Raw genomic sequence first — 19710 nt, forward strand, 5'->3', positions numbered from 1 at the left:
TGCGAAGTGCCTTTGTCATTGCATCTCCCTGGATTCTCCCGGTGACCTTGAGACATACTTTGACCCCACTTTGACACGTGAGGAAATTGAACCCCAGAGAGTCTGAGAGCATATCTGTAATCACATAACCAGTAACTGGCAGGTGTGGGGAGTCAGGGGCCTGTTTATGCCAGGGCACCCCATCATGTCCCTTCAGAGTCCCCCTCTGTCAGATGGGGATGATATGGTGGCAGTGGGCAGTGGCCTCATGGTCAGTGCCGGGCCTCTACTGTGGGTAGACCCGCTGACCTCCCACTTTCATTGCAGCAGGATGGAGCTGGAGTGAGGTGGAGGGGCCGCAAGCTGCTGACCGGCGTGTGGAACACTGGTGGTTTGCAGATCACTGAGGTAGGTGTGCCACGGGGCTGGCGGGAGGTGGCTGGGTCGGACGCAGGTGAGTCCTCATGAGGGCAGGTGCTAGCCCTAGCACGCTGGACCTTTGACTCGGGCCTCAGCCCTGAGGGGCAGGAGCGGGCACAAGCCACCTTTGCTGGGACCTCATCATGCCCCCAATGGGCTGTCCCTCTACCTGGCACCCAGGGACCTCTTGGCCTGGCCTTTCTCTAGAGCAGCTGCTAGGGGTGGGGGCTGCAGGTCTGCCCGGGGAGAGGGGCAGGTCTGGCCACCTGGTCTTGGCACAGCAGCCCTGTCTGCACCACTCTAAACCCTGTGGAGTATGGGCAGCCCCACCAAAGGAGGCCTGGGTGAGCAGGAGCATGTCGGCTGAAATGGGTGCAGGGCTACCCACCCCTTCTGCCCACTCTCACAAACATGCCGAGATGGATACACTGGGCTCTGGGGTCAGACCACCTGGATTCAAATCCTGACTGGCATGCATGGTTACTCTGTGCCTCTGTTTACCCATCTATCAAATGGGAATGAGATGGCGGTGCCTGCTCCACTCTCGCAGTGAGGAGACTACACACCTGGCACACAGCAAGGACTAGGGACATGTCAGTCCTTTTCCTCAAGGGTGCTAGGACCCACCTTTCTCCCCACACACCTCAGTTTCCACCACCCTGCTCCCCCTGAGGACCCACCAGTGCCAGGATGGACACGAACTGGACCCCCCGCCTGATAAGGGGGGCAGGGCACCTTGAGGAGCAACTGAGAGCAGCTGGGGCCAGCAGGTCCTAAGGTCGGGGCCAGCAGGTCCTGAGGTCAAGCCCAGCTCTGTCCCGTGCCCCAGCATTTCTCATCATGGGGTGGCATTTCAGGGTTGATCTCACTTGGCCCTGTGCCCGAGGGTGACCTGTGTAATCCCTGTTTACTTGGCAACTCTCAACCTAGAGATGAGAGACTTCACAAAAATCCTTACTTGGCCCAGAGCCCTTTGTCCCAAGGCGTCGTGGTGCTGGGGCAGCCCGGGAGGGGGGAGTCTTCGCCCTGGTGTGGAGCTGTCTCCTAACATCCCCTGCTGCCCTCAGCGTCCCTCCTGGAGCTTAGCGCTTCCAGGGGCCTAGGGGCAGGGCCAGGCGAGCCTCAGTCAAGCTCCGACATTGGAGAGCCAGGCTCCATCTCCGTTCCTGCTGCAGGAAATCCCAGCTGTCTGCTGATTGGCTGCATGACCTTGGGCCAGTCCCTTCCCTTGTGTGAGAGCCAGCTTTCTCATCTGAAAATGAGGCTGATTATACTGACATTGCTGACAGAGCTGCTGTGAGGATGCTTAGAAGCCATGAATATTTTTAAATGTCACAGTCTCGTGAGCATCTGCTGTGTGTGTGTCAGGCACTATGCTCCTTTAATACCTTTTTACCCCCACAAGAATCCCACGGGGAGGTTTGTCTAATTCATTCTCCAGAGGCTCGGCGTGGTTAGGAAACCCACAGAGCCATCAGTGCTGGAATGGGGATTTGAACCGAGGTCCATCAGGATTAACCAGTGCATAAGGCCTTAGAGGCCAGGGGCGGGGCCCCAGGACAAGCATGGGAGCTGCTTGGGGAAAGCCACTCCATTTCTGCCCTGCAGCCTTTGCCCAGCCCGCCAAGTCCGCTGCTCTCTGGAGCCAGAGGGTGGCCCTCAGGCTGGTGGCCTGCCTCTCCCGATGGGGCCTGCCTGCAACTCGATAAGGCTAGGGGAACCCCCTGCTAATTGTCTGGTAACCTTTGAAATTCTCCTTCACGGTGGGTTCTCTTTTCGGATGTTTTTCAAGGTAATTCATTCCTTTTCCATAAATTGCCAGTGGCGGAGCATTAGGCAGCTGGTAATTAATCATAGGAGCAGCTTCGAGTTGATTCTTTGAAAAAGAAAAAAAAAATGAGGAAGAGAAAGCCTTGGTGGAAAAAGAAAAGAAAACCACTCTAAGGCGAGGGTGGTAATCAATACCTTGGTGTCCTAGACACGGCTGGGGGTGGGGACGGTGAACATGCGGCCTTCTCTCCTTCTTCCCAGGGCTGGCCCACTGTCAGCACCAACAGCGGCAGCGTGGGGCTCCGCTCTTGACCATTGGCTCCCTGTATGGCTTTGAGAAGTTGCTGCCTTTCCCTGGACTCAGCTTTGCCACCTGTAAAATGGGTGAAGGGCAGCTGTTAAACTGAAAAGAACATTGAATGAACCATTGTTCACTACCACGTCTTAGTCCCTGGCACAGAGCAGTGGCCCCATTGATATTCTGTTAATTGAGTGAGTGAGTGAGTGAGTGAGTGAGTGAGTGATTCTCATGCGTCTCTAGGTAGCTGTCTTGAGTGAAGGAGGTGGTACTGGCTATAGGATATTGTGACTGTAGCTCTGTTATAATTTGGAGTGACAGTCAGGGTGATGGGCCAGTTCTGTCACTTTCCAAGCTAATGATGAAAGGACAGTCTTGCTTGGTGAACTCCGGCCAGGAGACCTCAGGCCCCTTAGTGGCAACCATGCTATCTCTTCAGCATCTTCCAATTCAACTTTCCAAGAGTCTGAGCTATCTGGAGATTTTATGTTAAAAAGCTGCCTCCTGCAGAGGTGGTGAGTTCCTCATCACTAAACTGTGTGCAAGCTGGGGTTGCGGCTGTATGGGCCACTTGGACAGTGGATTTTGGGGCTTGGAGCATCCCTGAGTCTGGGAGAGAGCATGAGGCTCTCCAGGATGGTTACTGGGGAGGCTGCACTGATCGGGAGGAAGCCTGTTCCCTCCAGAGCCCCTTCCCAAAGGTCCCAGGGGAGGACTGGACGAGGATACAGGCGCTGAGGCACCAGTGCCTGCTCCCCGCTGACTGGCCCCATTGCATGGACATAGGGGCACTGAGCAGGGTTGAGGGAAAGAGCCACACTCCTTATATCAGAGGGTGTCTAACAGGTTGTGGGTTGGGTAGGGGGGTGGGGAGGTACAGAAAGCCCTTGTCTGGGAGGTGGGGGCCTCAGACCTAGGTCTGATATGCTGGTCTGTCTGGTGTAACCTCAGCAGCTCCCTTTCCCTTTCTGGGATTTGGGCCACGATCCTTCAGGAGAGGGCAGCAGATGGGGAGTGTGTTCTCCAAGCCTTCCTCCCCTGCCTGGGTGAGCTCAGTTTGGGAGCCAGAGCTGGGCCTGACAAAGCCGGTTTCCTCTTAGCAGCTTCTCTCATTCTGGCCCTAATGTGGGACCAGGGTTCCTTGCCCAGAGACCCAGGATGACAGTGCACCCTAGCCTGAGTAGTGGCTCTGGGAGACTCAGAGCTTCCAGAGGGAGGGAGGGAGGAGGGTGTGTGGCTGTGTGCTTGTGTGTAAGTGTGTGCGTAGTAGCGTGTGCCTGTGTATGGGTGTGATTGTTCAGCAGGACGTGAGGCTGTGTGAATATTCATGAGTATTCAAGGAAAGGGGAGACCCCTCCCTCCCGTGTGTGTCAGGACCTCCAGGTGCACACTGGCTCCACATTCAGACTGGCCTGGGGGGCCCTGACCACAGTGGAGCTGACTGAGGGGCAGTGTGGGGCCCAAGCATTCAGGCCGGAGAGTTCGGACCTGCCCTCCCACAGCTGGAGGTCTTGACAGCTCCCCGTGGTCACGGGAGGGCATGGATTTGGCGGCCATGCCTCCTGCCACAGACTTACACCCTGAGCCTCTGGCCTGAAGTCTCTGGGTGGGCCCAACCAGCTCCCCCTAGGCGGGCCTGGTCTGCTAGGGGGGTCCTCTGTGAGCAGCCAAGCCTGACTTGGCACTAGTCATTTCTTTACTTCTTCTGGCCTTGGCCTCCAAGCCCCAGCTCAGCTGTGTGTGTGTGTGTGTGTGTGTGTGTGTGTGTGTGTGTGTGTGTGTGTGTGTGGGCTCTCCCTGCAGGGTGGGGCAGTGGGTCCATCTCTGCGTGTCTCTGTCCCATCTCCCCGTGGCTGTCTGTCCTCATCTCTCCCTGCAGCTCTCTCCTGCCCAGTTTTCCTGTCTTCTTACATCCCAGAGGCTGCCTCCGCCGCCACACGCCTCCCTGTCCCTGCAGCGTATCCCAGGGTCCCTGCACCTCCTCACCTCTGCTCTCCTTCTCAGGGCCACTCCTTACCAGGCCTCCCAGCAGCACGGCTGCACCATGCCACTGTGTCACTGCTTCTTGTCATCCTCAGGGCTCTGCACAACAGAGGCCTCCCTACCTTCTGCCTTTGCCTAAATCTGGCTCCAGCCAACATGCCACTCCCTCCCACCCTGCTCTTTGGCGGGTCTGAGACAACCCCACATTCCCAGCTGCTGGAGGCTGCACTCCGTGTGTGGCCAGGTGGTGGGGGAAGGTGCCATCCCCTCCCATGGCCCTGCCGTGCCGGCCACCTCCTGGCTCAGGAGTGCAGGCTGCTAGCCCACCCTGCAGCTGCCCTGTACCGTCCTGGGCATGTGGGTTGCTGGCCACCAGCTGGAGCAGGAGAACGAGAGGCGGCCTGTGCCCACTAACAAGGGGTGGTTGGAAACCTGGCATCTCCCTCCAGCATTAATGAAATTCCTGCTATAATTAGAAGTGAGGTGTACAGGAGCTGGCTGCCTGGTGGGAGTGTTTGTATGCTCATGAATAAGTAAATTGTCCTCTCCTGAAGGGAGAGGAAGCTGGAAGGTGTAGGCCCAGAGGGTCTCAGTGGCCTGTGAGGGGCAGAGGCCCCACCACTCACCTGGACGCCCTCGGGAAGCTCCCTCGGTCCCCGGCCTTGGTCAGCCAGTCTTCCTGGAAGTGCCTGCTGCGTGCCCAGCCAACTCAGCCTGGCATTCAAAGTCACCGCCATCTGGCCCCAGCCTCCTTTCACAGCCACATCACATGCTAGCCTTCTGCCAGCGCCCTGGGCTGCGGCTCCACCGTGCTGCCCCCCACCCCTCTTCTTCATCACACCTTCCCACTCTGTGCTCTGGCCTGAGTTTCTATGGGCTGCCTCATGGCTCCATCCTCGGAAGCCTTCCTCAGGCCACACCTGTGCCTCCTGGAGGCCCCAGTAGCCTTCCCTGGACAGGCCTCCTAAATCCAGAGCCTTCCTTCGACACTCTTCTTGCCGTTTAAAGTGTGCATCAGACTGCCCACCAGGCTGTTTTTCATTTTTCATTGATTACATATTGGGATGGTAATGTATTGGATTCACAGGGCAGATATTTTACATTCTTCATCATACTAAGTCTTTGAAATCCAGTCATTGCAGTCTCCACTGTTAGCTGTATTGCACGGCGCATGCTTGGAGAGTCCTGTTTCATCTTGCAGGTGAAGAAACTGAGGCCTGAGGGAGGAAATCCTGCAGGTGAGTTTGCAGAGCACAGGCTGTCTCTGTAGGCAAGGCCACTGCTGTCCTGCAGGACAAAATAAGGAACCGAGGCACAGGGCACTTGTCCTAAAGATATATCGAGGCAGGCAGGACCATGGCTAGAACCCAGGCAACTGAACCTGAAATGAATAGAGGAAAGGCGATGTGAGCAATTTCATTCCCCCCACACCGCCCACAGTAGATTTCAGTGCTTGAGGCTGCCCTGTACTTCATGCCGAAACAGCCCCAGACCAAGCAGCTGTCACAGGCTGGGCCACGTATTGGCCAGTCCTGCCCTTCATCCCTCCCAGCTTCCTGACAGTGCGCATACACCCTAGACGGAGCTAGGAGGGTGAGAGCCTTTGTTCCTCCCAGGAAAGGTCACCCCTGCCCTCCAGCCCCTCCCACATCAGCCAGCAGAGTCTGAATCTCAGAGGTGCCCAAAGGTTGTGTCCTCCTAACCAGCCCAGGTCTCCAGCGAGTGGAGGATGCCTGTGGCAGGGATGGCTCCAAGGCTAGGAGGGAGAAGAGGGGATTTACTCCCCAGAGCCTGGCCCTGCCCCTGCTGGCCTAGAGAGTTCTCCCAAAGTGGGGTGTTTCTTAGGAGTCAGGCTGGCGGCAGAACAGCCCCTCCAGAGCCCTCTACCCTCTGGAGCCAATTTTCCTCTTTGTTACCTGCAAGCCCCCTTCAGCTGCACTTGGCTGTATGCTCCATTTATGATCTACCTCTTGTTTGCCTCTGCTCAGGCAGTGTGGCAGGGAGTCATGGAAGGTTCAGGTGCTCGTCTCCGTCCACTGCAGACAGGGCTGGTGCCACTACCCAAAGCGGAGCTCCCCCGGGGGCCTACCTCCTCCCACCAGCAAGGGCTGCGGAGTTTGAGTGTACTGAGCCAACAGCCCCCCTTTCTTTCCCCAGCCCATTCCCTCCTTCATCTGCACACAGGCACCCCATGGCCTTTTTTTGTCTCTGTTCCTCCAAGCCAGCCATCTGCTCTTTCCCCACTAGACTGTATACTCCTTGAAAGCTCAGGGCAGGCTATGAACCATGTCCCCAGCACAGTCCCTGGCCAGTTCTGTGTTGAAGGGCAGCTGAAAGCCACAGACAGGCACCCAGCTTGTGCACCCTCAGCTTCCTCTGGGCATAGCAACAAGGTGATGTCTAGCATCCCAGTTGTTAATGTGCTTGTGGGCCGTATTAAGAAGGATTCGGAGGCTGTGTGCGGACTCCACGAGAAATAATGCTGTGCATCGTGTGGCGCATGGTCACGCTCTCAGCCCTGCTCCCTGGGTATCAGGTCTGCTTGACTGATGTCTCAGCTCTGGGCTGTGGCCAGTGCAGGAGGAGAGAAGAGGCAGGGACCTCAGTGTGACCCCCACAGGTGTCCGTCCACCCTGGCTGCTGGGTGAGCTGGGCCCCAGAAAACTTTCTAGAGCCCCCAGGGAGCTGACTGGTTAACGGAGAGCAGGAAATTTATGGTTGCTGAGCCTTTGGAAGCTTTTTGCTCACATCTGCCTCCCCCATTAAGTGCTTCTCACCCTTCTTCAGCTCCAGTTTGGGAAACAGCAAGCACATCTTGCCTCACGGCTGTTCTGGGACCGTCTACCGCTCCCCTGAGGCATCTTTAGGGACCTCTGTTGGAGCCTAGGGGAACATCTCTGCTTCATAACCTCTGTGAATTGCTCCCGTGGTGCCACCTCCATCTGGCCCACCCTCAGGTTGGTGGGACAGGCTGGCATGAGACGGCCCTCGCCCTTGCCAATAGCCCCTGCCAGTTTTCTCTGGTCCCTGGCCTCACCCAGACTTCCCGTCACAACCCCTGACCCCTGCCCTTGTCACCACCTGGGGTGCCAGCCCCCTGTGCTTCGTTGCCTCTGCCCCCAGCAATTCCCTCTCAGGTAGGGGTTCCCAGTTGCCTCCTGCCCGGCAGCTCCAGCGTGGTCAAGGATTGAGCCAGGAGGACTTTGATGCACTAGAACCTATAAATAATCTGGAGCATTTTTATCTGTGTATGGAAGAAATGCAACAGACTTCCTTGCATCCTGTAGCCAGCTTAGCCTGTCCACAGCCACAGCTCCAGAAGGGCTGATAAAGATCGTCTCATCCCTGGTATTGACTCCTCCAGCTGCTGCCCAGACACCTCCATTGCTGGAGAAGTCACTACACAGTTTTGCTCATGTAAATTCAGTGTGATAGAGGATAAAGTGTGGCGTGTGGTCAAAGTGTGTGGGTTTCAGGGACAGACAGTCCTGGGTTCAAATCTCTATTCTTCCACCTATCAGCCAGGTGAGTCTGGACAAGTTTCTTTCATCTTCAACTCACCTGTTTCCTCATCTGTAAAGGGGTGCAGTGCACCCACCTGGCAGGATAAAATGCAGCAATAGCTACACAGCACCAGTCCTCTCTGTTAGCAGCAGACTGATGCCCTTGGGGAGATACCTCCCACCCCTCAAACAGGAGCATCTGCTTGAGGTGGGCATTTGTTAGCTCTGGACCCAGACACTTCCCTCTCCAGAGACAATGGACCCCCAGGTCTTCTCTTGAGCTTTCAAGTGGGAACTTCTAGGAGGATACTTTGAGATGGAGACACAGTGCTTCCCAGGCATGCTAGCACACCCAGGCCACCTGGGACACCTGTTTAAATGCAGATCACCAGGCCCCTCTCCTGGAGTCTGATTCTGTAGATCTGGAGTTGGGCCTAGGCCTCCAATTTTTAAACAGATGCCCCCAGAAAATACCTGTGATCTGGCCAATCTGGGACACACTGGTGCCTGCAAAGGGGAGCTGGCCTAGAGACTTAAGCCAGTTCCTCTCTGTGGCTCAGTTTTCACACTGATAAACCAGGGGTTTAGATGACCTGGCAGGGATCTTTCTGCCCTTAAAACCTCATGACAATCAGACAGACATTCCCTGATGTCCCCTCTACCAGGGGCAGATCTGTGGGTTTCCGCCCCATTCCTTTTAGCCACAGAGCATTTGGCTCAGCAGCCTTCTGCCAGCCTCAGAGCCCTAGGGATAGATAGAGAAGCTGTTCCCTGGGTGTCACATGCCATTTATTGGCCATTCCCTTGCCTTCCAGGAGGCCCTAACTCTGCAGGCATTAGCGGAGTCCACTCAGATCTGAGATCTTTTCTGTAAGCTGAGCTGGATCACTAACTGGTACCTACTGGGAGGTAGGGCGGAGGCCAGAGTGGGTGGGGGCAGTCCTGCAGCTCCTCTGAGGCATCTGGGAGCCTTAATAGTTAATACACATGAAAGCCTGCAGCATTGGAACTGCAGAATGACCCCGCAGAGCCCTCCCTGTCTTGTTACAGATGAGGAGACTGAGGCCCAAAGTGGAACGTGCTGGCTAGGAGGATGTGAGCTCTGGGAGCTCCACGTGGCTCACAATCTGGTCTCTGGGCCAACCCATGCGGCCCACCATGCCTCTCGTTGTGTGGTCCATCTAGGATGGGCAGCCCCGCCAGGCTTAAGCCCTCAACTTAAGCTGCTGAGCCCCTAGGAAAAGAGAGTGCCATCTCAGGACAGGTCCGAGGGGCTGCCTGCTCCTGAACACTGGTCCCTTCTTGGACCCGCACTGTCAGCCTAAATCAAGAACCCCCTCCCAGCCCATGGGTCCTCCCACCCCAGCCAGGGCAGCCCCCATGGAAGCTTTCCAGAAATATCCACGCACAGTGCGGTGAGCTCCAGAAATGAAAAGGCTCTCACACTCCCTGCTCCCTCCCGTTTTCCACTCACTGCTGCTCAGGGGAGTTAATAAGCAGAGGTGAAAAAGCTGGCCCTGTCCTGATGAGATCTCGTTTGAGGCAGCTGGGTCTGGGCTAATGCCAGAGAAGGAATTCTTCACTGCCGGGCCTTCACTCCACCGGGGATGAGGCCAGGGCCTAGAACTTAGGGACTGGCCTGGGCTGTCGCTCAGAGGATGCCGGGGGCCAGAGCTTTGTCTCCTTCCTGGGCTGGGAGTCCCACTGGGTCCTTAGTTCACATGTGGTGCCTGGTACAGCACCCACCTTCAGGCCTCTGCGCAAGTCAGCCCCTCTCCACTGCTCTCTCTATCTGTACTCAGTAAGGCAGCAGTATTTAGTAAGCACCTACTATTTGTGTGGGTCTGTGCTCGGCTCTTCAGGAGACAAAGAAACAGACCTGTGCCAGCCACAGGGGAGCTCACAGTCTAGGCCACTGTAGGTCACATGCAGGAAGAAAATTTGTGATGCACCGTGTCCACGGGGCAAGGGATGTGTTGAGATCAAAAGAGGAGGAGTCCTTGGGGAGTGAGGGCCTATGGAAGGCTTCCTGGAGGAGGATGACTGTAATGGATTGACACTCAGAGCATTTCAAGAATTTCAGGTGGGGCTAGGGCTGGGGCAGGTGATAGTGCTTGTACCAGAGCATCACTGGGCACACACCTGGCCCTGTCCTGCGACAGGAAGGCCCAGCAAGGACGGAGCCATGCTATTGAGGCAGCCACAGGCTCAGACCTGGTACATCGTAGGCCATATCCCTATGAAGTGAATGACCAGCACAGAGCACTGCTTTTTAAATGTAGTAGGCACTCAATAAATGCTGACCAAATGAAGGGTACATCACATACACTCAAGTATCCACAGAGCAACCGAGAGCTCAGGTCAGGAAGCAGCAGGGATGAGGAGATAGGGTGCGAGGCCTCTGGGGCAGGGGCAGGGCTCACAGCAGCTCAGCCTCATTCACTGGAACCCAGAGTAGTGGGTGCCTGCTGGGGGCATCCTTCAGAGCCACACGTCACCCTCCTAAGGGCACACTGTGACACCTGACCAAGCAGGAACATGGCGGGTGAGGACGCCTAGGGCCCAGCTGGGAGCCTCCCTGGGGCACATTTGTACCCAGTGTTTGGTGTATGCCCTAGACAGACCCACCCTCCCTAGAGCTTCTAGGACAGGAGGAAAATGAGCACCTGTGGCATGTCTGTCACTGAAGAGCAGAGGACAGGCCAGCTACAAAGCCCTTAGATGGTCATGGTTATGATAATAGTAATAATGACAACAGTGTCAGCAGCCAGGGCATCATTTATTTGATCCCAGTGACACCCTATAAGGTAGGGACCAGTATCATCTCCATTTTATGGATGAGGAAACTGAGACAGAGGGAAGTTAGGAAAATAGACAAAGTCTCCAGGTGCAGAACTGGATAGGAACTTGGGTCCTTTGACCCTAAATTCCAGACTGGCCTTTGGTTGGCCTCTCACTCAACCTAAGGAGCATCCCATCCAACCTTCACTCCTGTCATATGGAGCATGAGGGCCACCGTTGCATCTTTTGACACAAAAGAGGAGGAGGACACGAACTCTCCAAAAAATCATTTTAAGTTTTCCATTATCAAACTTTACACAGGTCCTTCTCATACCTTCCCAGCTCCATGGGAAAGATGAACAACCAGTGTCTGGATAATGGGCCCTTCCCCTGAATTGGTCCTTTGTAACGGAAGTAAATTTTCTGCCAGCCTTTGGTGCCCAGCAGTTTGATAATACAGGTGTTTAAATGGTAGTGACTGTGGGGCCAGCCAGGAGAGGAGGCAGTGAGTCAGATGGGGGATTCACAGGAATTAAAGGCACTTAATCTCAGTACAATATGATTTTTCCAAATCTGCTGGCTCTGCACCAAGAATGAGCTGACCCTGGACACCCTGGGGCCTGGGCTGCTCAGGGCCTGCTTGGCTGTATCAGGGAGGGCTCTGGGCTGAGGAACTCCTGGGAGGTGGCACTGGCCTAGGGCAAGCTTGTCCAACCCGTGACCCATGGGCCACACGTGGCTCAGGACGACTTTGAATGTGGCCCAACATAAATTCGTAAACTTTCTTAAAACATGATGAGATTTTTTTGCGAACTTTTTTCTTTTTTTTAGCTCATCAGCTGTTGTGAGTGTATTTTATGTGTGACCCAAGACAATTCTTCCAATGTGGCCCAGGGAAGCCAAAAGATTGGATGTCCCTGGCCTAGAGGCTCTGAGAGCAGATTAGGACCAAAGGGTCCAAGGGCAGCCTAGTGTCCCTGTTGCTAGGAAGCCCCTTAGGCCACAGAGGACAGTGGACAGTGGGGCGGGGAGCAGGGGGCGGGGTGGCTTCTCCAGGAGTGTAATGAGGAAGAATTTTGAGAATATACCTTGATCAACAGACAGAGAGCAAGGGACCTGCCTAAGACTACCCAGCCAGGATTTAAGACCAAATCTTTGCTGTTAATCACTATGTTATCCTGTAGAGTGTGTGTTATGTGTTGGGGGAATCTTAATGGTAGCTGTGTTAATTAGCACTTACCCCAGTCATTTTATATGTATTATCTAATTTAATCTTCATAGAAATCTGTTTCAAGTATGAGTAAACTGAAGAACAGAGACGCTAGGTAATATGCTCGTGATCACACAGCCACTGGGAGGTAGGATTAGAATTTGAACGCGGCTCCATCTAACTTTCAAGCCTGAACCCTCAGCCAGACCCTGGCACAGAGCATCCACCCCAAGGGACCGAGACCCCTGCCAACCAGAAAGATCAGGGAAGCTTCTTGGAGGGCATGTCAGAATTTGTTTCCGATGGAGCTGGTCTGTAAACTTCAGGTTCCCTGACCTCCCAAGGGCTCTTGCTCATCCTCAGATTGCTTCATGGGGCCCACTTGCTGGGTGCTTGGAGGGTGAGGTGCATCGTGGGTGCATTCCTCAGATCCCACTGGGATTGCTGAAGCGGCCAGCACAGGTTGCACCCACCAGCTTTGGGGCAGGCCTGCCCATATTAGATTGCAGCTTGGAGCCCTTCTCAGCATCACCCAGGACAGTTCTCTCAGCCAGGGTGGGGTCAGCGTCGGGGACACCGGGGACACACAGCTCCCACTGGGAGGGGCAGGGAAGGGCCGTGACCAACTGGACAGAAGAGAGTTAGTGAAGACAAAGGCACGCCAATCCCTGGACTCCCAGTTGTCGGCTCCAAAGGGATGAGTAGGAGAAGTGGCAGGTGGTGAGGCCCTGCCAGTAGATTGCACCTCCATTTGATGGGCAGTGGGGAGCCGGTGAGGGTTTTGATCTGTAGAATGACTGTGTGCCATTTCTCACTGAGTTTTCATAGAAACCTAGCATGTCAGAGGACAGAGACCAAACACTGTCAGGAGAGTGGCTCTGCTCCCCTGGGTGCTGGCAGGGAAGGGATGCTCATGTTGGGAATCCCCTTTGTAGCTGAGATGTCCTTTTGCAAGTCTGGTCTTTAAAATCCAAGCCCAGTTGGTGTGGGGCATAGAAGAGCTCAAAGTGTTAATTCAGAAATGTGGCTGAGTTTGGGGGAGGAGTGCACAGAAAACACGTGACACACACAAGATGCAGGCTCAGTGTAAAACTCTGGATGCCAGAGGCTGGGGGATCCGAGGGTCCAACAGTCCCACCCCCTTTGGATGGGAGAAACTGAGGACATAAGGGGCTTTGCCCGAAGAAGCCCAGGCCATTGCAGAGGAGGGCGCAGCATCCCCAGGTGACACCTGCCCTCCATGGGGGCTTTCCTCCTTCCATTGTGTGTCTTTGACCTTCCTCCCAGGCCTCTCTCTGAGCGTGAGCTGAGGCTGAGGGTTGGAGCCAGCTAGGAAAGAGAAGAGCCAATGTGTACCTTCCAGGTCACCTCACCAGGCTTCACAGGTACAGAGCAAGGGGGTCCTCGCAAGGAGCCAGTGGGGACTCAGTGGCCTGTCTTAGACATTGGTATCATAGCACCCAGATAGGGAGGGAGACCACTGGTGGCAGCAAGCCTTACGCTAATTCATGACCCAAAAGAAACCCCGAGCAGTCTGCCCAGGGTGGGGCAGCTGCCCCGAGGTGTCCTCTGCCCACCTGTTTCTGTCCCACTGCCCTCACGCTTCTTAGCAGCCACAGCTGCCCGTCTGCCTCTGGCTCTGGCTCTGCCTCCTTCTGTGTGTGGGCCTCCTCTCGTGATCATGCCTGTATTTCCCAGTGCTCCTTGCTCACCCATTTTTGTCTGTCTGGCATCGTGTCTCTCACTTGGGTTTGTCCTGCCCCGATCAGCTGGGTTGTACCACCCCAGAGGGCACCCTTCCTGCAGGAGGCCTCCTCTCTATCGCTGGGTTGGGCTGGGCTCCACCTTGGTGCTTGCTTGCCTCTGAGGACTTCTCTAATCTGTGCACTCTGCGTGTGTGTGTGTGTGTGTGTGTGTGTGTGTGTGTGTGTGTGTGTGTGGAGGTTTTTACAGACCCGCATGTATGTGTCCCTCCCCCTGGCCACCACACCCTTCACACCACTCATCTCTGCCCATCCTTGGGCTGGGCTCAGGTTCCTCCCCACTCCCCATGGGCCAGCCAGCAGGAAGGCAACCTGCAGCCACAGTGTGGAGCCCACTCCTTGCAGGCAGCCCCGGCATTCCTGGCTGCAGCAAACCCTCCGGGCTTAGCCCACAGGACTCCTGGGAGCCGGTGTGAGCCTGGCCATCATCCAGCCTGGAGAGTGGCTCCTGTTTGAAAGCAGGAATGTCCTGGATGGGAAAAGGCAGAGAGGGGAGAGTTTGTGAATAAAACAAACAAACAAGGGATTATTTTCCCTGAAAATGTGCCCTTTGTCTAATGCTGGAGCTCAGGGAGTCCCAGAAAGTGAGAAACCAGGGCACAGGGAGGGCACTGTGCATCCTGGGCTGGGGCTGGAGGACACAATGGAGGGAGGGGATGGGGCAGCCACACAGACCGCACGTGTTCCGGAGGCCCAACGGGCCAGGATGACATTCCAGGGCCATTTCAACTGCCTCTCGAAATGTCATTAATATATGGCTAGCGGGGAGAGCTCCCAGGCTTCTCCAAACCCACCGTGTGAGTGGAGCCCCCTCCAGCCACCACCACTTAGTCATTTAGCAGATGTTTACTTAGTACCTATGATGGACCAGCGCTCTTCTGAGTATTTGGGATGCCTCTGAGCAAGAGACTGGGTGTCTGCGTCATGGAGCTGACAGTCTGGCAGGGGAGGAGAGAGGCATAGATCTTAGAGCTCCGAGGTCTTCCTGACAGTCCAACCCAGTCACCCTCCCAATCATACTGCTGGAATCCTGAGGCTCAGGGAGGTAGGGAGTCAGCCCTCCATCCTCCTGGTGCCAAGGCACAGCCCATTGGCATAACATTCGGTGCACACTGGCTGAATGAACACCCCTCTTGCAAGCATTGCTCAGTTTACCGAGAATTTCCCAGAAGCACCTGGGGATAGGAGGGGCTGGCAAGGACCTGCTTGATAGCAAGGCTTTTGGAGGTTGCAGGATCTAGACTGGGAGAGGTGTGCAGTGGAGGTGAGCTGCCATCACTGTCATCGTCCCCCTTTGCCCATCAACCCCGTTGGGAATTTGCCAGTCTGGGTTGAGGTCAGTCTTTCTTCACTAATAATCTGATGGCATTGGGAAGTCTCTTTTCTCTGTGGGCCTCAGTTTCCCCATCTACCCAGTAAGAAGGTAGGACTGGCTGATGTGAGCTCCAGGAGGCCAGGGATTGGAGTTTGTGGCAATGTGTCTCCAGTGCATCTGCTGCTGACAAAACCGTGTAAACTGTGCCATGCACTGGGAATGAGGCCCCTCAGGGATCCCACAAGAGGCCCCCTGGGTCCTGGGACCCCACCCGGCCTGTCTCGGTTCCCAGCTGCAGCAGGGCCTGGGCTTGCTCTCCCCAGACAGCCGGGCCAGTGAAGCGTGGGCCTGCTCACAGCGCCTGGCAGGGACCTGTAAATTGAAAACATGATGTTTCCTGTTGGGGCTGGACTCAGTGTGGCCTTGGAAAGCTGGCCTCGCTCTCAGGAAGCCCTGCTCCCCACAGCACCGCCACAAAAACAGTGGAAAAGTGAAGCCTTTTCAAGTCTGTGTTTCCACTGTAAACAGGGGATGAAAGCTGGCCTCGCCTCCTGGAGCTGTTCAGGCCAGGCTCCTCGGCCCTGTCTTTGGAGGCACCTCAGCTGCCCCTCTGCCCCAGACAGCACCCCTCTAACTGGAGAAGCCGCCCTGTGCCCCCAGTTGACAAAGGCTTACAGGTTTAGTTCAAGCACACCCAGACCCGTTAGTCCTCGTATCCACCCTGCGAGGTGAGAAGGGCCGGGGGAGATCAGCAGAGCACAGAGAGGCATAGGACTTGCCGAAACACACACCACCAAGGGAAGGCAGACCCGGACCCTGCCTCCTGCCCCGGGATGTCCTCACAGGGCCTGCAGTCCCTGAGGAGGCTCTTGTGTGTGGCCCTGGGTGCCTAAGCACAGATGCTGCCTAACCCAACATGAGCTTGACTTTGGCCTGTAAATGGAGAATCTCACACATTTAGTGGAAGTGACTTATTTTAAACTTTAATAATGTCCTTTTTTTCCTTATTGTAAAGTATATGCATGCTTGCTGCAGAAAGTCTGGAAGTCAGAAAAGTGAAGGAAGAAAAATAAAACTGCCCTGTAGTCCTCCCACCCAGAGGTCATCCTGGTCATCATTCTAGTATGTTTCTTTCTGGTCACCTTATAATTTTCTTTTCTTCTCTTTTGGACTAAGTCACGAGGAGGCTTCAGAGTCATTCAGTGCTCCTATTAGACATGATCCTTAATGGCCACATGGTGGGGTCTTAGGAGGGGCCAGGGCAGTATCCTCATCACAAGCAGCTTGCTGCTGGCTTGGGCTGGGTGTGATGGGGTGCTGCTGGGGACTCTGGGGAGATGCCCCCCACCCTGCAGCATAATTCATGGTGAGGGCAGCTTGGCCGGGACCCTCATGCTAGAAAGTCTTCCAGTGGCTCTGATTAACTGTGTGACTCTGGCCCACCTGTCCTGTCTCCCCATCTGTGAACTGGGCAAATGGGCCCCATTCGAGTGCTCATGGCCGCCCTTCAGCCTGCTACCAAGGCACTGCTTACTGACAACCTGCAGGTGTGGCCACGCAGTCCCTTACTCAGTTGGTCGTGAACAGAGTGCCTACTGTGTGTTGGTGAGTGACGCCTACCAGAGGCGCCATTCTCTCCACCATCACCCCTCCTATGTTCCTGCCCCTTTTAACCTGCAAGCCCATCCAGCTCTCCTCCTCCCTGACCCCTCACCAGTTGGAGCTGGAGCCCAGCTGGGCGGGGGTGAAGGAGGTCCCAGGAGGAGCCATCTTCAGCCCCTTCTGCCCTGGTGACATCCTTGGTGGCCCTGAGACAGCTTTATGGAAGACAGATTAAGGCTATCTCCTCCTGGTGGGTTCATGTCTTCACTTTTCAAGCCCTGCTCTGAGTTCTCCACAGCGGCATCCCTGCCCCACCCCTCCCCCACCCCCGCATGCTTCCTTCCCTCCTGCTCTAATCTGTCAGCCCAGCCGGAGAGAGGGCCACTGGTCTCCAAGGTGATTGAATTATTGTGGGGGAGACAGGCCAGGGTTTTCTGCGTGAGTGCTTTTGGCTTCCTGCCCTTGGAGAGGGGCTGGGGGAGGTGTGTGGTGGCAACCATGGGCCGTGGATCTCCCAGACAGCCCTGCTCTCCCAAGCCAGGGCCGCATGAAGCCCTGCCCCCGCCTGGCTCAGCGCTGCTCTGCTCTGGCCCAGGTTCCACCTCCAGAGGAGTGGGCCCATCTCAGTCCAGACCCTGGAGGAAGGAGAGGAGTCGGGCAGCTGTGACTGCTGACTCACACATGAACATTTCTTAAACATCTGCTATCTCTGTGCTGCAGGCCAGGAACCCAGGATGGAGAAGAAGAGGGATGCTAGCACATAAAACACTTACTGTATGTGCCAGCCCTCCAAGGGTAACTCCAAGAGTTAATGTTACTGGTAGCAACAGGTAAAAGTTACTGGCCTCAGTTTTATAGCTGAGAAGGGTGCCTGATATGAATTCCTTCTCCCACTCACCTGTGGACTCCTAGAGAACAGGGGCTCTGTCTGGGTTCTGTCTGGATCCCTAGGGACTGCAGAAGGCCAGCCACTCAGATGGGACCTAGTTAGTGCCTGGTGAACTCAGTTCTACTAGAGTAAGAGAGGTGAGGTAACTAGTATGAGGTCACACAGCCAGAAACAGAACCCCATTTTGCCTGGCTCTGCACCCGCACTCAGTCTCTGGGGCACCACGCCTCTTCCAGGCTGAGTGTTGGCAAAGAGGCCTGCCATCTAGCTGGCACTGCCCAGCCACATGCCCACTGTGGTGAGCTGAGAGAGAGCTGAGTGGCTGCAGGTCTCAGCCTCTTCCCACTGGTGTGCTTCAGTCTGCTGGTCAGGCCCCACGCACCGTCTCCCTGCAGTCTGCTTCTTCCCTGGGAAGGAGGGGCCAAGAGGGGAAAGCCCCTCTCTCTGCCCTGCTCCACACTCTAGCTCATGGAAATGAAAAACACATTGGCTTCATTATCCCTGGATTGAATGAGCAGGGTTGCCATGGCAACAGCCATCTCAGGCCCACAAGGGGGCAGAGGAGGGGCTGGCAAGGCCGAGGCAGGTGGGGACCAGGCAGTGGGTGAGCAGGCACTCCAGGCAGGCAGGCCACAGGGACAACCGCCACGCATGCCACCACCCTCTCTCAGAGGCCAGTGTCAGATCAGCATCCTGGGGCCAACGGGGCAGGCTGGGCCTGTCTTCCACTGACCTGCCCCTCATCCACTCGTTCTGTCTCCTATCCACCTGTCCCCTTCCTGCAGGGTGCCGAGGGTGGAGACGGGCCCCCACAGCACCATGAAGATGAAGGAGACAGGTGGAGAGAACAAGGGAAGAGGGGATGGAAGGGAGCCAGGAGGGGGCATGGCCTGCTCCTGATCAGGGACAGCCCTCAGGGGGCCTCTCGAGAGGCATGAAGTGAGGAAATGCCCCGAGGTGCCAGGCTGTGCACACCCAAGCACACCCGTGACCAGGGCCATGCTAGTGGCCCTGTCCCCCAGCATCACCCTCCTTAAAGAGGCTGGGTCCCCCAGTGTCTACTAGGACACTATGAGTGATGTTGGCTGTGGGGGTGACCACAGAGGGTCCTGGCCCAGTAGCCTGGGCCATCCCATGACCCTGACCCCTGTCAGAGCTAGCTTCCCTGATACCAAAATGAACCCTCCTTTTTCCAGGGCCTAAGTGCCACCTGCCTCCTCTGTCCCATGGGCTGTCACCCCAGGGCTTGCATCTGAGGGCGACATCCCCCAGTAGGCCCTGCCGCCCCTTTGCACAGTCTGGCCCAAAGGAAGTGGGCTGCACCCCTTCCTCCTCCGAGTCCCCCAGAGGCGTGGGAGCCTGAGCTGCCCCTCTGGAGTGGCCCCAAGCAAACACCACCACCTTCCTCTGAGCAGGCAGCCTCAGCCAGTCTCTCCATGTGACCCAGACAATGGGGCAGCCCACAGGGGCCTCTGCTCAGGGGGGATAAAGTGCCCACAAGAGACTTTCCTTTCAGACAGGGCCATGCAGAGAAGCCCAGTGCTGACCGCAACTCCATTTGCAACTTTGACTCCAGTCCCAGCTCAAGCCCGGTCTTCGGGGCCAGCACACCTGCACACGTTTCCAGCTGCTCTCCCACCCCCAGCTTCTGCTCCAGCTAGAATGCCCTCCCGCCATGGCCTGTGCCTCCCCAAATCCAGCCTCCTCCCACTGCTTTTTTCTGATGGGGAAACAGAGGCTGAGTGAAGGGAAGTGACTCATCCAAGGCCACGAGGGAGTCAGGACAGTGTGGCCGTGTGTGGGATGTTCCTTTCCCAGGAGGCAGAGCTGTGGGTTCCCACTGAGACGGACCAAGAGTCAGTGTGGCCCTGCGTCCTGAGTCTCCCTGCTAGAGCAGGCTTGGGCAGGAGCAGGGAGCACCCGGGTTTCAGCCTCCTGATGGCCCTTCCCAGTGGGAAGGGGCCTGGGAGGAGGCTCAGGGGCTGACTCAGGTCACCATTCTCTTCTCCAAGCCTTAGTAAATGGGGACAGTCCTGTGGCCCTGCCTACAAACGGGCTGCCTGCTTCTGAGGAGGCTGGAGGTGAGCGGCTGGGCAGATGCAGTTGTGGTGTCACTGGTGCCGTTTGTAGCCTTGTCCTCCTGCCAAGTGGCGGTGGATTCTGAGGGGGAGACAGCAGAGGCAGGAGCAACCCCAGC

At 56.1% G+C, this 19710-nt stretch overlaps 1 protein-coding gene across 11 annotated transcripts in view, besides 5 other annotated features; it reads left to right on the top strand.

The window, feature by feature from the left end:
• The window catches only part of ZMIZ1 (zinc finger MIZ-type containing 1), a 247554-nt gene that overhangs the window by 92781 nt on the left and 135063 nt on the right, over positions 1–19710 (top strand). For 6 of the 11 annotated variants that reach the window (XM_047425538.1, XM_047425539.1, XM_005269988.4 and 3 more), the window contains one exon: positions 307–387. The exons of 2 other annotated variants lie outside the window; for them this stretch is intronic. The gene's annotated coding sequence lies outside the window, so the exon portion shown is untranslated. The remainder of the gene's footprint in view (positions 1–306; positions 388–19710) is intronic. 3 more of the 11 variants (XM_006717923.4, XM_047425541.1, XM_047425543.1) reach the window with 1 other exon arrangement.
• Positions 554–1225: an enhancer, noted in NCBI's record as "H3K4me1 hESC enhancer chr10:80922057-80922728 (GRCh37/hg19 assembly coordinates)". NCBI's record gives its function as "activates a minimal SCP1, AML or CMV promoter by ChIP-STARR-seq in naive H9 embryonic stem cells {active_cell/tissue: H9 hESC(naive)}" and the evidence as "EXISTENCE:reporter gene assay evidence [ECO:0000049][PMID:30033119]".
• Positions 9282–10071: an enhancer, noted in NCBI's record as "H3K27ac-H3K4me1 hESC enhancer chr10:80930785-80931574 (GRCh37/hg19 assembly coordinates)". NCBI's record gives its function as "activates a minimal SCP1, AML or CMV promoter by ChIP-STARR-seq in naive H9 embryonic stem cells {active_cell/tissue: H9 hESC(naive)}" and the evidence as "EXISTENCE:reporter gene assay evidence [ECO:0000049][PMID:30033119]".
• Positions 16077–16693: an enhancer, noted in NCBI's record as "H3K4me1 hESC enhancer chr10:80937580-80938196 (GRCh37/hg19 assembly coordinates)". NCBI's record gives its function as "activates a minimal SCP1, AML or CMV promoter by ChIP-STARR-seq in primed H9 embryonic stem cells {active_cell/tissue: H9 hESC(primed)}" and the evidence as "EXISTENCE:reporter gene assay evidence [ECO:0000049][PMID:30033119]".
• Positions 16694–17310: an enhancer, noted in NCBI's record as "H3K4me1 hESC enhancer chr10:80938197-80938813 (GRCh37/hg19 assembly coordinates)". NCBI's record gives its function as "activates a minimal SCP1, AML or CMV promoter by ChIP-STARR-seq in naive H9 embryonic stem cells {active_cell/tissue: H9 hESC(naive)}" and the evidence as "EXISTENCE:reporter gene assay evidence [ECO:0000049][PMID:30033119]".
• Positions 17906–18200: a silencer, noted in NCBI's record as "tiled region #270; HepG2 Repressive non-DNase unmatched - State 17:Gen3', and K562 Repressive non-DNase unmatched - State 5:Enh". NCBI's record gives its function as "represses a minimal TATA promoter and a strong SV40 promoter by Sharpr-MPRA in HepG2 and K562 cells {active_cell/tissue: HepG2 | K562}" and the evidence as "EXISTENCE:reporter gene assay evidence [ECO:0000049][PMID:27701403]".

Source organism: Homo sapiens, chromosome 10 (assembly GCF_000001405.40).
Source record: "Homo sapiens chromosome 10, GRCh38.p14 Primary Assembly".
Lineage (NCBI taxonomy): Eukaryota > Metazoa > Chordata > Mammalia > Primates > Hominidae > Homo > Homo sapiens.